This window comes from Homo sapiens, chromosome 3 (assembly GCF_000001405.40).
Source record: "Homo sapiens chromosome 3, GRCh38.p14 Primary Assembly".
Classification (NCBI taxonomy): domain Eukaryota; kingdom Metazoa; phylum Chordata; class Mammalia; order Primates; family Hominidae; genus Homo; species Homo sapiens.
The window spans coordinates 142,994,344-143,008,981 of record NC_000003.12 but is presented as its reverse complement, the minus strand read 5'-3'; the positions used below and the strand labels follow the sequence as shown (position 1 = coordinate 143,008,981).

The 14,638-nt window shown below is 42.1% G+C and overlaps 1 protein-coding gene and 2 long non-coding RNA genes across 6 annotated transcripts in view, besides 3 other annotated features; 1 reads left to right on the top strand and 2 right to left on the bottom strand.

Annotated features, from left to right (window-relative positions):
- Window positions 1-7,412, bottom strand: part of U2SURP (U2 snRNP associated SURP domain containing) — a 59,156-nt gene extending 51,744 nt beyond the window's left edge. For all 4 annotated transcript variants that reach the window (NM_001320222.2, NM_001080415.2, NM_001320220.2 and 1 more), the window contains exon 1: window positions 7,309-7,412. Coding sequence is in view for 2 of the 4 variants with exons in the window: in NM_001080415.2 (NP_001073884.1) it covers window positions 7,309-7,353 (45 nt within the window). In the remaining 2 variants the exon portion in view is untranslated. The remainder of the gene's footprint in view (window positions 1-7,308) is intronic.
- Window positions 6,975-7,974: an enhancer, noted in NCBI's record as "NANOG-H3K27ac-H3K4me1 hESC enhancer chr3:142719850-142720849 (GRCh37/hg19 assembly coordinates)". NCBI's record gives its function as "activates a minimal SCP1, AML or CMV promoter by ChIP-STARR-seq in naive H9 embryonic stem cells {active_cell/tissue: H9 hESC(naive)}" and the evidence as "EXISTENCE:reporter gene assay evidence [ECO:0000049][PMID:30033119]".
- Window positions 7,051-7,700: an enhancer, noted in NCBI's record as "active region_20646". NCBI's record gives its function as "activates an Ori minimal core promoter by ATAC-STARR-seq in GM12878 lymphoblastoid cells {active_cell/tissue: GM12878}" and the evidence as "EXISTENCE:reporter gene assay evidence [ECO:0000049][PMID:35858748]".
- Window positions 7,515-8,137, top strand: LOC100289361 (uncharacterized). Its single transcript, NR_034032.1, has one exon. It is a non-coding gene; the product is annotated as an uncharacterized LOC100289361 (long non-coding RNA).
- The window catches only part of PAQR9-AS1 (PAQR9 antisense RNA 1), a 37,033-nt gene continuing 30,286 nt past the window's right edge, over window positions 7,892-14,638 (bottom strand). Inside the window, exons 4-5 of the long non-coding RNA NR_125393.1 lie at window positions 10,488-10,582; window positions 7,892-7,955 (exon numbers count right to left, since the gene is read on the bottom strand). This is a non-coding gene — a long non-coding RNA (PAQR9 antisense RNA 1). The remainder of the gene's footprint in view (window positions 7,956-10,487; window positions 10,583-14,638) is intronic.
- Window positions 8,974-9,974: an enhancer, noted in NCBI's record as "H3K27ac-H3K4me1 hESC enhancer chr3:142717850-142718850 (GRCh37/hg19 assembly coordinates)". NCBI's record gives its function as "activates a minimal SCP1, AML or CMV promoter by ChIP-STARR-seq in primed H9 embryonic stem cells {active_cell/tissue: H9 hESC(primed)}" and the evidence as "EXISTENCE:reporter gene assay evidence [ECO:0000049][PMID:30033119]".

Here is a 14,638-nt window from a genome sequence, read left to right as displayed (position 1 = left end):
GATCAAGAGATGGAGACCATCCTGGCCAAACCTGGTGAAACCCCATCTCTACTAAAAATACAAAAATTAGCCAGGCGCCTGTAGTCCCAGCTACTCGCTGAGGCAGGAGAATGGTGTGAACCCGGGAGGCAGAGCTTGCAGTGAGCTGAGATCGCGCCACTGCACTACCGCCTAGGCGACAGAGACTCCATATCAAAAACAAACAATAGTAACAAAAAAAACTCAATTGCCTTCCAATACACCAGTATTAACTTGCTAAGCAACAAAAACATCCTAATCATAAAAGCAACAAAAAATATAAAAACATCTAGAAACCAATTTAAGAAATGTATATAACCCTTGTGAAGAAAACAAAAACTTCGAGAAAAATCCAGTTACTCAAGCCACCTTTTCAAAAGATTCATATTACTGGATGGGAAAATTCAATATTAAGATAATGTCAATGACACCTAAATTTCTTTACATATTTAATACAATTTCATTCAACCGCTCTAAATTCCAAAGGGAAATATTTGCAAGGGGGCAAAAGAATTGCCAAAACAATTCTAAAGTTCACCCAGAAAGAATAAGCATCCAAAAGAATAACTAAGAAAGCGCTACCCTTTCTGTAGTCTTTGATGCCACCACATCCAAATCATCATTTCTAGGATTTAAAAACAAAAGATACAAGAACCTAGGCATTCTGCCTATTTCCATATAGTTAACTCTTCCCTGACTCCAAGTCATCAAAAGATGAAGCTCTATAATCTTCAAGGATCTCACTTGCGTAACCATTCACCAAATTAAATAATCTCTAATACAAAAATAATCAGTTCAAAAGTAACAATTTTGTCAGCTTTCAAAATTACACAATTTGATAAATTTGCAAACAGAGCAGTAACAGCATAGTGTAGCACAATGCACCGGTGTAGGACAATGCACCAGCTGATTTCAGTTAGCTTAAGATGTCACTAATCACATTTACTGCAAACCAGACATTTTCCACTGATACATACCTACAGCTACATAGCATTCAGCACGGAACTTTAACAGTTCAAACAGCAGTTAACACAATTTTTAAAATAATCATCAACTTCTAAAGATAACAGTCAAGGTAAACAGTAAATATAGCACTACTTCAGAAGCTGAGCTTCTCCCTCTTCCTAACCTGGAACTGAACTGTATTCTTTGTCTTGAGTTTGGCTTTTTATTTTTAACTGAAGAACACAAACCAATGATGCCTAAAGATCTCCTGAAGTCGGCCGGGCGCGGTGGCTCACGCCTGTAATCTCAGCACTTTGGGAGGCCAAGGCGGGCGGATCACAAAGTCAGAGGAGATCAAGACCATCCTGGCTAACACAGCAAAATCCCGTCTCTACTAAAAATACAAAAAATTGGCCAGGTGCGGTGGCGGGCACCTGTAGTCCCAGCTACTCGGGAGGCTGAGGCAGGAGAATGACGTGAACCCGGGAGGCGGAGCTTGCAGTGAGCTGAGATAGCACTACTGCAGGCCTGGGCGACAGAGCGAGACTCTGTCTCAAAAAAAAAAAAAAAAAAATCTCTTGAAAGGACCCAAAAGCTGCTGGAGGGAGTGGCTCATGCCTATAATCTCAGCTACTAGGGAGGCTGAGGTGGGACGACTGCTCGAGGCCAGGAGTTCAAGACCAGCCTGGGCAACATAGCAAGAACCCCTGTCTCTGGAAAAAAAAAAAAAGAAAAGAAAAGAAAAATACAAAAGGAAGAAGTGAAAAGGCAGACTAAGGGAAGTTTGACACAATAAAGTAGCATACACAAGAGAAATTTATTTTAAGGCAGAGAAAGCAGACAGTAGAAATGTGGGGAGGGACAGCAAGAAAATCCAAAAGGAAAAAAGATCATTCTGATGGCTGCTAAAGGGATAAAAGTGAAGCCAACTACACTACCTGTTGCCCTATAGCTTGCTGGCTGAGAACAAAACTAGTTTTCTTCTGGCTGCTCCAATTTTACTTTAAGTGAAAACCCCACATCTGAGTTTCCAAATTACCAAGCTATCCACAGCAACATTCCTCCAACACTACCATTCTGCCTAGTGAGCTCTCCATTCGTGTATCTGTCTCCTAATCTCCCACGTTTCTCCTCTCACCCTCTAAGAGAAGCAACTTTCATCTCCACAAGTTTAACAATCTCTCCTATAGGAAGCATAACACCACCTTAATTGCATTGTGCTGACTCTCTTCTACTAGACAGCATGCTCCTCAAAGATGGGTACATTCTTTTTTTTGAGACGGAGTTTCGCTCTTTTTGCCCAGGCTGGAGTGCAATGGCATGATCTCGGCTCTCGGCAACCTCCGCCTCCCAGGTTCAAGCGATTCTCCTGCCTCAGCCTCCCGAGTAGCATGTGCCACCATGCCCAGCTAATTTTGTATTTTCAGCAGAGATGGGGTTTCTCCATATTGGTCAGGCTGGTCTTGAACTCCCGACCTCAGGTGATCCACCCGCCTTGGCCTCCCAAAGTGCTGGGATTACAGGCGGGAGGCACTGTGCCCGGCCGCTAAAAATGGGTACATTCTTATTTAACATTTTCTAACTCAACATCAAGCACAAGATCTGGCAAGCGACAGAGTCTCAATATACTTGACTTGTCAGAACAAGTGCCTACCACCAAACAAAATTACACTCCACACTATCAACATACTATGCTGTCCACTCATTAACAACAGCTACCTAGCTTAATACCACTATCCAAGCCAAATCAAGGTATCCATCTTTAAAAAACATTCACAAAATCATTAATACAAGCACTATATAAATAAAGTTAAATAACAAACCTAAGATGATTTTTTAAATTATTCAAAACACTACCAATACTATATGAAAAGTTGTAAGTACACTCTGAATAACCTATAGTTTATCTAAACTGAGGAAGGGCCTTGTGAAAAAACTTAACTCAAGGAATATATGTCTAACACTACCGTTAGCCTCAAGTGCTACTGACAAATGTATCTTGCTTTCAAAAACGTTATTTCAGCAAAATATCCAGCTCACAGCTGATGTGCAATAAAATGTTAAAACCACCTATACTAGAATGAGGCAAATAGTTTGTAATATTACTATTTTTGATTTTAATATCTTGTAGCAAGTTTTTCTTTTTATTCCAAAAATGATGGCTCCTTGAAAAAAAGGGTGGAGGGTAGAGGGGTAGATACTTCAACCGGCATACTAAATGAGCTCTTCTCTCAATGATACCCAGTAAGGCAAATGGGTATCTTTCTTAGGTTTACTTTCCAAGGAAAACAAAGCTTCAGAAATAAAAAACAAAAAGTGAAAATAAAAACTGGACTTTCAGAAAACAATTCAATCCAGAAAGATAGGAATTATTTTTAAAACCATACCAACAGGCATATTCTAGCACCCGTGCTGCAGGTTCAAGTTTCGAAAAAGTTATCAATCGAGAAAATGGAAGGAAGTTCAGTTCTACCTTCCAGACCAAAACAAAACCTTCTACCAAAAAAACTACCTTACATTTTAAGATAAGGTTACAACCATAAACCATAATAAAGATTCAGTTTAAAATTGGCAAACTGTTTGAAAGCCTGATTTTCAAGGTTTGTATTTTGTTTGGACTTTTTCATAAACTTTCAGGTACCACAAAAAATGAAAACTGGCAGTAATAAATACCTAAGGTTCACAAGCCTTGAACAGGTCCTCAGTTTACTTATTTCTTAAAAGTGATACTTTTTGTTAATCAGCAAAGGCAGTCAATCAAAACAGTTCCCAAAGCAATTCAGCACTGGATGTCCAAGGAAGCCTGTAGTATTTTGTTTTATCCATTCACCTAACTCAATTTTTGGCGATACGGCAAAAAAGAAAAAAAAAAAAAAAGCCATAGTCACAGAGTGAAATAGCAGGGCACACAATTACATTACATTAGCAATATTACCAGCACAGGAGATGGCAGAAGGAAAGAAAATACTACATTTTCTTCATATCCTAATTTTGCTGAGTAAGCAAACAATTGACAGTCAAAAACAGTAATTTTTTTATAAATTAAATTCTAAGGAAATATGCTTAACAATTTTATAAGTAAACAATTACAGGCTCTCTCTCTCTCCTCTCAAAATGAAAGCTACTACATAACATCAACACCCCTCCCCAACCAAGCAATATTTTAGACTAGTGATAAACAAACAAATGCACAGGAAAATTTTAGCTCATTTCTAGAACATTTGTTAAATGTCTACATCTGCCAGGCTCTAAAATGCAAAGCACAACAAAATTACACAGAAAATTAAAGTGCACAGGGGTCTCTTCATTAGGGACAATTATGAATAAAGGTAAGTCATTCAAGTACATACACATACATAAAGTATCATTTTAAAACTAGAAGCCAGGCACGGTGGCTCACGCCTATAATCCCCGCACTTTGGGAGGCCGAGGCGGGGGGGGGGGGTCACAAGGTCAAGAGGCCAACAGATGAAACCCCATCTCTACTAAAAATACAAAAATTGGCCAGGCGCCTGTAGTCCCAGCTACTCGGGAGGCTGAGGCAGAAGAATTGCTTGAACCCAGGAGGCAGAGGTTGCAGTGAGCTGAGATTGCACCACTGCACTCCAGCCTGGGCGACAAGGCAAGACTCCCTCTCAAAAAAAAAAAAAAAAAAAAAAAAAAAACACCCCAACTAGAAGACCTGTAGAGGTTATCTAATTTAATCTTTTTATAATTAAGAAATGTTAATAATTTTGCCATATTGTACATTTAAAATTAACATTTTCCCAATGTCTAGAAATATAATAAGCATCCCTATCCATATTAACGGGAATGTAACTACCAAAGAAAACGACGAATCATGAAACAGAAGTATCTGTTCACTCCATCTGTATTGTAAAATATAAGCCACTCATCTGTTCTTTCCAGAGGAAAGGAAATCAAACCAGATATCAAAGGCTAGAAATTCTAAATACTGTAGTATTAGCCAAAATGATCTTACAATTTCTCTAATAAATTATGTGTTAGAAATAAAAAGCAGGGAAGCAGGGCGGGGCACGGTGGCTCACGCCTGTAATCCCATCACTTTGGGAGGCTGAGGCGGGTGGATCACGAGGTCAAGAGATCGAGACCATCCTGGCCAACATGGTGAAACCCCGTCTCTACTAAAATACAAAAAATTAGCCGGGCGTACTGGCGGGCGCCTGTAGTCCCAGCTACTAGGGAGGCTGAGGCAGGAGAATCACTTGAACCCGGGAGGCGGAGGTTGCAATGAGCCGAGATTGTGCCACTGCACTCCAGCACTCCAGCCTGGGCGACAGAGCGAAACTCTTTCACAAAAAAAAAAAAAAAAAAAAAAAAGAAATAAAATAAATAAAAAGCAGCTATCTGGGCAGTCATTATGACAGCTGATGACTTAGATTCCAAATCACAGGATTAAAATTTATCCTGACATTTTGAAAGCTAAGAACTTTTGATTTCCTCTAAAAACAAAAAGAGGGGAAAGAAATTAAGATTTATTATGTACTTCATAGACATTATCTCATTTGATCCTTATATCAACCATGTAAAAAAAGAATTATATCTACATTACAAATGAGGGAATTGAGGCTCCAGAGTTTAAGCAATCTGCCTTATTATCGCAAATATAATTAATTACCAAGTCAGGATTTGAACCCAAATCTCTTGTTAACAAAATTCATAATCTTCCCACTACATTATGCAGCCTCCAAATTAGTTAAGATATTCTGATTCCTTTCACAGACATCAGTAAGAAATCTGCTAATAGCATCAAGAGATTATAATCTAAGGCAATATAAACAGAAAAGATTACTGGATAATCCAATAATTTATTTATTGAGAACAGCCATACATTCAGTCATGAGAAGCACTATTTTAGAAGGAAGCCTGAACACAGACATTGAAATGTTTTCAATGTATCCAAGACCTCAAGTAGGGAATACTTAAAATATTACTTTGAGAAGAAACAAAAATTGTGAGGCTTATGCACGACTTGTTATGAACGTAGCTAGCTTTAGTAATAGCTCCCTAACGGTATGTTCTTGTCAGGAGTCTGTTGAGAAGAGTTGGTAGAGCTCGCCCCCAAAGAGAGGGAGACGAGAAAATGTACTGAGGAGGGGGAAAAAAAACTGACACAATACCTTGTAAAGAAGCCGAAACTGGCCCCTCACCAAAGTTTCTATGTAACTAAACGATGTCTGTTAAGACCATTACTAATTATGAATTAATTATTTTGGTGTACATCGTTCACCAAATGGCATAAACAGTCGGATTAGAGAAAGCAAGTAGAAAACGAGTTATGATGTTTCTCAGAACTGTAAACGCAAGCTTCTCTCCTACCGTAAATTTAACTTTCTAATAGCCGATTTACAGTCACACACTCTTTAAGATTTAACAGTCCCTAGCACCTGAAAGTGTTACACAGCTTCTTGCATCAGCATCGGAAAGTTTAACTACCTCGTGGCAGTACCAATTACTTTTAATATATTCGAGACCAGAAACCCAAACCAAAAAACGATTAAATGTCCCGCCCAAGATGGCAACTAAGAACCCAACCGTACTAATGCTTAACTACTACCACAGCTCACTGGTTTCACAATACGTGCCCAGGGTTCCCTGTAAACACAAATGCAATTTACTAATCGTATGTAGCTTACAAGTCTACGGAGCTTCTCTTTTCACTGTTTCTTCAACATAAAGAAAGAGACCACGAGTCCTCTACCCTCAAAAGTGCTTTTTACTTCCCGTTAAGGTAAAGACCACGTGTAGACTGTACATTAACCTTGGCTATGCAGCACTGCAAAGGAGAGCTGCTCCCGCCTCTGCATTTCCCACTCCGTGTCTTTGCCCTAGTGGTCCTCCCCTCACAGCTGGCGACCCTAGAGGTTATTCATTCCTTGGAGGGAAACTGAGGGAGGCCGGAAGTGAGTGAGATCCAAAACCGAGAAAAAAGCAGCAGACATTTAAGCACCGGGAAGCGATTCCCGCCTCTCTCCCAGGCGCTGTCTGGCGGCCTCAGGGCGCAGGAAGCTGAGATACAGGAGAGCGTTTTCACTGCTTCAGACCTCAATCTGAATTCCTGATTTCACTCCAATGCCAAGCGCGGGCCGAAGCACTCACGCCTCCACCCACTGGGCACGCCAGTCTCGAGCTGAATCCCGGCTGGGACTATGGGGAGATACCAGGCCTCTCAACCTGCGCACAACGGTGCGGCGGCGCCCGGGCCTACCGTCGCGACTAGAATGCAGACCCCAATCCCAATCGCCTCTCACAGGCCAGAAGCGTCTGTGGGCCCCAAACGACAGTGGTAGATCCGCTGACTTACGAAATTTTGTCAGAAATTACCTTTGAACTGGCCTTCTGAGATCCGCCTGGCGTTTTGTCCGCCATCTTGAGCTTTGCCCCTCCTTCGGCGGCGGCAGCAGCACGGGCGAGTCGAGCACCGAAAGAGCGGATCTCAGTGAAGCCCGCCAGAGGCGCCTGCAAGGCTGAATAGTCGACTGTCGAGATAGCGACCTTAGGGGCAGCCGCTCACGTGACTTCCGGTGTCAGTAATTTCCTCAGCCGCGCTCACTCCGCTAGTTTTCCTGGGAGTCACGGTGCTTGGTCGCGTTATTGGGTCCGGGAATTCAGAGAATCAGGGCCAGCTGATACTTCACCCTCTTATCCCAACGCCAACCCTTGATAGATGCGAACCAGTCGTATTTCCTTTGTGGGAAAGGAGTCGCTTTTTAAAGACGTGCACTGGCCATCTAGGGAGGAGCTTTTACTTCAACTCAAAATAGGACTGGAGCTGACTGGTGACCTGGCGCTCGATGGACGGAAACGCTGTTCTTGCCGCTTCGGCAGCTCCCATACTGGTGGGAGAGGCAAACTTGCAGTCTGCTCATCTTAAGATGGTGAATGTTGAGATAGGGTTGCTCCCGAAAAGCCGAGAAGAGGAGCCGTTTGACCCAACTTGAGGGTGATCCGATAGACACTCTTTAGGGCGTCTGCAGAGTGGGTGCGCGTGGAGACAGTCAATAAGAGAAAATCGTAAATACAGATGGTATTCTAAATCTAGCATGCATGTAAAGTTGTGTGACATTTTAAAGATTACATTTTACACTTTAGTATTGTTTTCATTTTTAATCACATAAATGGGGGAACACCATATTAAACTTTTCTGAACTTAGTACTTTTTTAAAAAGTTCTTAATCAGGGCCTAGATTCAAAGACGGAAAGCTTGCTTGAGAAGGCCATGCCCGAATCAGGCCAGGCAAGGAAAGAAAGGACATTCCAGACAGAGGGAGTAATTGAGGTAAAAGCCTGTGGCATGAATCAGTACAGCCGATCGTGCAGGTCACCTAAAGCAGTCGTTTTATTAGACCAGGTGTGGGGAGGGACGTGGTTGGACAGGGGTGCGGGTGCAGGTTCACACAGCGCCCTGAGGTCACCATCGTGCTTAGGAGTTAGAATTCTGTTCTCAGAATGAAGATCGGCCTTTAACAAGGTTGAAATGGTCAGATTTTTATTTTAAAGTATTGCTCTGAGGACTAGGGTGGGAGTGGAGGGCGTTTGTGGACCTCTCCCTAAATCATTTATTCAAAATATTTTTGAGCCCCGTTTTGTGTGTAAAAGCCTGCCCAAAGTGTTGTAGGGCTTACAGAGACAGACAAACATGCACTGTCTTCATATGATTTAAAACTTAATGAGAAATGGAGGAGACAAGGAAACCGCAAACTGACACTATGCATAATTAAATTGATGCTGCAAGGAAGGATCAATAGCTGAGGGACCTCTGAAAGAAGTAATTAATTCTGAGAGTAGGAGTGAGGAAAAGAGACGGGGCGGGGCAGGGGGGGGGGTGGTCATAGAGAAGAAAGCATTTGAACCAGCTCTGAAGAAGTAGAATTTTGTTGAATGGCGGGGGTGGGGAGCGAGGGAAGCACTTAGAACAGGATCTGACACAAGGCTGGCTCTCAAGAAAGATTAACAGACATATATGCCAGCCACTAAGGAATCAGCAGGCCAGGCCTCCTATTCTCTGTGAGGGTATGAGGGTAGAAGAACAGACAGTAAACAAGAAATGATCTGAAAGTGACAAGTGCTACACATGAAATTAGAATGACTTGCACCCTCCAACCCAATTCAATTTACTTCTACTGCTGGATTCTGTCATACTTTTTCAGTTCTGGGCCTCTTCCCTCAACCTTGCCCTGCCCTCTCATTGAAGTCTAATCCAATTCTACTCTGGGTGAAGATGTCCCTTCCTCCAGGAAGGCTTACAGTCCTCCCTCCCCACCAATCCTAAATCAGAGACCCTTCTGTTTCCAAGGAACCTATACTTTACCACTTTGAAGAGCTCAGCACACTAGATCTTAACAGGGTTTTGTTTTGTTTTGTTTGTTTTGAGACGTCTCGCTCTGTCGCCTAGGCTGGAGTGCAGTGGCGTGATCTCGGCTCACTGCAAGCTCCGCCTCCTGGGTTCATGCCATTCTCCTGCCACAGCCTCCCGAGTAGCTGGGACTATAGGCGCCCGCCACCACGCTCGGGTAATTTTTTGTATTTTCAGTAGAGACGGGGTTTCACCATGTTAATCAGGATGGTCTCCATCTCCTGACCTCGTGATCCACCCACCTCGGCCTCCCAAAGTGCTGGGATTACAGGCGTGAGCCACCGCGCCCAGCCTAGATCTTAACTGTTTATAGGATTAGAAAGTGAAATCATCAGCTGAGATGAAGAGGAGAAGTGGGACTGGGTATGCCTTGTGGTGTTCTGACAATGCCACAGGCTGATTTTGTCACTAGAAAGTGAATATGTGTAGCTTTTCAGTCAAATCCCCAAAGTCCTACTTATTTTAAAAATAATTTTTACTAAATACTCCTGAAGAGTCAAAAACAAAAGAATGCAGACTTCTTTCCTCTCTTCTTTTTTATATTGTAAGCCCCAAAGCAAGTCAGACAAATATGATGTGACTAGAAATAATACGGGCCTTTATTAAGGGTTAAGTACGCTTTTAAAAATTCAAAATCATTGCCAGGCACAGTGGCTCAGGCTTGTACTCCTAGCACTTTGGGAGGCCAAGGCGGGCAGATCAAGGCAGGCAGATGGCTTGAACCCATGAGTTCGAGACCAGCCTGGGCAACATGGCAAAACCTTATTTCTACAAAAAAATATTTAAAAATCAGCCAGATGTGGTGGCATGCATCTGTAGTCCCAGATAGGAGGCTGAAGTGGGAGGACCACCAGAGCACTGGGAATCTTGCCATTGCACTCCAGTCTGGGCAACAGAGTGACCCTATCTCAGGAAAAAAAAAAAAAAATTGAACATCACAATTATGAGTAAGAATTCTTGATACGTGAAATTCTGGCCCTATTACGTCATGAAATTCTGGCCCTATTACTCAAATTACAAATTCAGGAAAGTGAAATAGCATGAAAATAATCCAAATGGAATTTTATGGAATCTGAATAATTAGATTAGTGCTAAGGGACTACACATAAACAGTAAGAATCATGCAATTTACTGCAACTAGTATTACCTTTTTACAATTACAGTAAAACCATGCCATTTTTCTCTTCCCGATGTGTTGATTTTCTGGTGCCCACACCTGCCATTTGTTTTTAAGGCTTCTCCCTGCAGCAGATACGTTCAAGAGAAATTACAAAGTAGTGCCATATACAATACTGAGATGTTTTGTTTGGTTCATTCAGGGAGATTTTTTCTTTGAAATTTGAGCTAGCATTTTAAAACAGAGAGATTTTACATAAAACTCAGGGTTTCTAGCCTTTCTTGAAAAATGGGGAAGTCTGGCAACACTGGGGGACAATCCAGGTGAGGTGGCCTGCAGCGACTTCTAGGGAAGGGGGCTATGAACACCAGTTTAGCCACCAACTCATCATACACGGTGGACAAATTCCCCATACCCAGCCTGCTTGTAGGCATTTCAGTTTTCTACTTCTGATGTACAGTGTAATACTTACCTGGGGTGATGATCAAAACATTACCAACCAGTTCCCCCAGGCACCAGCCAGAACTGACTTGTTAGTAAGGTACAGGAGACTCAGTGCCTAGGGCTCACAATAATTTTTAGACCTCCCCACCAAAAATGTTTTGATTTCTTTAAGGAGGAAAAAAGTGGAGTGGAGAAAGTATTTAACAATACAAACAGCTGTGGAACCTGTGCATGCTGAAAGATAGAGACCTTAAAAAATGATTGCCCCAAAGCTACAGCCTCCTGTATTGTGCCAATGGACTGCTCCTACTTGGTGGCATTTTCATTCTAGACAGTTTTTAAACAGTTTTTCCCTGCTCTCTGGGTTTCAGGATATAGGCTGGTAAAAGGAACACTCCATTTGCTTCTTTGGCATTTATTGAGTTTCTAGCTTGTGCTAGGCTCTGAAGAAAGAAGATAAAAGGAGAGACAACTAAAAATCAGACTTAATGTCTTCTGCTAAGACAGATCCTAGCTGCTTCTAGGAATAATTAGGAAACAGCCTTCACGGAGGTGTGGTCAGTGTGGAATGGAAAATTCCTTCTGCTGCACTTGACTGCCTGCCCCACACCCACCCCACAACGTAAGTGTTATGAATAAGGTTTTAGTAGCAACAGCAGCTGCTCCCCCTTTCTCACACACACAAAAATTACCTGACTCACTTATTGATTATATACAGATTCCTTTGACAATAATAATTAGCAGTGGCAGCCAGGCGCAGTGGCTCACGCCTGTAATCCTAGCACTTTGGGAGGCCAAGGCAGGTGGATTGCCTGAGCTCAGGAATTTGAGACCAGCGTGGGCAACATGGTGAAACCCCTTCTCTACTAAAATACAAAAGAAATTAGCTGGGCATGGCAGCGTGCACCTGTAGTCCCAGCTACTCAGGAGGCTGAGGCAGGAGAAATGCTTGAACCCAGGAGGCAGAGGTTGCAGTGAGCTGAGATCACACCACTGCACTCCAGCCTGGGCAACAAAGCGAGACTCCGTCTCTACAAAAAATAATAATAATAATAATAATAATAATAATTAGCAGTGGCATTTTTTTAAAAATGATGTCAAAAAGTATATAGCCCAAGAATACACTGGTGCCATGTTGAAAATAATAGAAATTGCCATTTTAACTATGATCCTAGTGAGAAGGAAACCTTTACTGTGTAGGAATTATTTTATCAACAAGGTTAATAAAATCTAGGAGAGTCCAGATGGCGTACTGTGGAAATGGAAATGAGCGTTCCTGAGTGTGTGTGTGTGTGTGTGTGTGTGTGAGTGTGATAAAGGAGGACTCAAGGTTCCTGTGGCAGGTCATGAGAACCAGCACACGGCAAATCTGGGGAGCTCTCTCTTGCCATGGCCAGGCAACCCAAAGGTGGGCTTGACTTGGACCACCAAAGATAAGGCCTCACTTAACTTGTGACCTGGCTTTGGCCAGTGCGAAGCGTACATATCCCCATATTTACTGAAACTCACGAGACAAGACCAGGTAATATTACAGGCTGGGTGGAGAATGAAGTTATGAAAAGAAAATGAAAGAAGACTTTCCCTCATCAATTTCATCTGTTAATAACAAAAGTTGTTAGTAACAGTGGTCTTAAAACACATAAGGCTTTATTTTGACATTGCTATAGTGGTAAGATTCTATCAAAACAACATGGCATACCTTTCTTCTTTTTCAAGTTTTGTTCCATTTCCTTCACATTAACTTTGCATTATTTCCTGTTACTTTAATTGTTAGGTATTTTGTCTTTTCTGTTGTTACTGTGATTATAGTAAGTTTTTGTATTTATGTATGTCCTAAATAAGCTGTTTATTGATATATTAATGTTGTGTAATGTGTTTACTGAATTCTTTTATTATTTACATAGGTTTTCAGTTTATTCCCTTGAACTTTCAGGTATACAATCATATTTGCAAATAATTACCAGTTTGCCTCCTCCTTTCCCATTTTTATACTTTTTTCTTGTATAATTACATTAGCCAGTACCCCCAGAATAATGTTAAGAGTGGTGCTAATGAACATGCTTGTCTTTTTTTTTTTTTTTTTTTTATCGAGATGGAGTCTCTCTCTGTTGCCCAGGCTAGAGTGCAGTGGCACGATCTCTGCTCACTGCCAGCTCCGCCTCCCGGGTTCACGCCATTCTCCTGCCTCAGCCTTCCGAGTAGCTGGGACTACAGGTGCCCGCCACCACGCCCGGCTAATTTTTTGTATTTTTAGTAGAGATGGGGTTTCACCGTGTTAGCCAGGATGGTCTCGATCTTCTGACCTCATGATCCGCCCGCCTTGGCCTCCCAAAGTGCTGGGATTACAGGCGTGAGCCACCGCGCCCGGCCAAACATGCTTGTCTCATTCCTGACTCTAATGAGATGATTTTAGTATTCTTATGAGGATAAGGATAACTTTTTGGGTTGTACCTTGAATTGTACATTAACTTTTTTTTAGCTAACTGTGGAACTGAATAGAATTTAAAACTCTCATAAGAAAACTAAGGGACTGTGAGGATACACCAAAGAATGCCAATGGTCACACAGCCCTGTTAGAGAAACATTGTTAGAGGCTTGTGTCAAGACAAACCAGGACATCTCCCTGACTTGGGAAAATAGGGGAACAAAGTAGAAATGTCCCACTCTGCACACCAGTGAAAATGAGCAGTGTGGAACGCAGATTAGGAGGAGGACAGGTAGAAATCTGTATAGTTTCCTATTGCTGCTGTAGCAAATTACCACAAAGTTAGTGGCTTACAGCAACTCAGATGTATTTTATAGCTCTGGAGGTCAGAAATATAAAATGTACCACCAGGCCCGTGCTTATTTTGGAGTCTCTAAAGAATAATCCTTTTCTTTCCCCTTCCCAGCTTCTAGAATTCACCTGCATTCCTTGGTCTGTGGCCCTCTCCTCCATTAGCATCTTCTGACACTTGCCTCCACCCTTATCTCTTCTCCAACTCTGCTCCCTCCCTCTTATAAGGACCCTTGTGATTACATTGGCTCTACTATGACAATCCAGGATAATCTCCCATCTCAAGAGCCTTAATCACAGCTGCAAAGTCCCTTTGCCATGTTAGGCAATATATTTGCAGGTTCTGGGGATTAGGGTGTGGACATCTTTGGAGGGCCATTATTCAGTTTACCATAGGATCTATAATGAACTTTCTGTTTCTGTATTTTGTCCCTGGCTGAAAGGACACAGCTTTGATCCCACCAGAGAACTGACTTGGGAATGGTCCTAATAAATATAGTCATCTTTAATCAGTTGAGTTCTGAAATCATTACTTGGGAATTCAATGGGTAGAAGGTGTGGTTCCAGTGAGGATGGGATAAGACAGGTCCCTGTTGTCAAAGGGCTTGCAGGGCATAAAACACTCCCAGATGTATCACAATAAGATGCTAAGAAGTACAGGCTGAAATTTTAGTTTGATTTGTTCACTGCTGCATCTGCAATACCTAGAACAGAGTAAGCACCATGCAGGTACTCAATGAATATTTGTTAAGGAATGAAATGAGCACCAGAAACAGTTTTATGGAAACACAGGAGAAGATTGGTTTGGGAGAAGTCAGGAAAGACCTAATGAAGGATACTCTAGAACCACTGGGAGTGTCTGTCCAGCTCTCAAGATTTCACCTCTGGGGTTAATTAACTTCTGCGAGGGCAGGATGAAGACCTTAGCACAGTGTTGCCTCACTTTAAGAAGATTCCAATT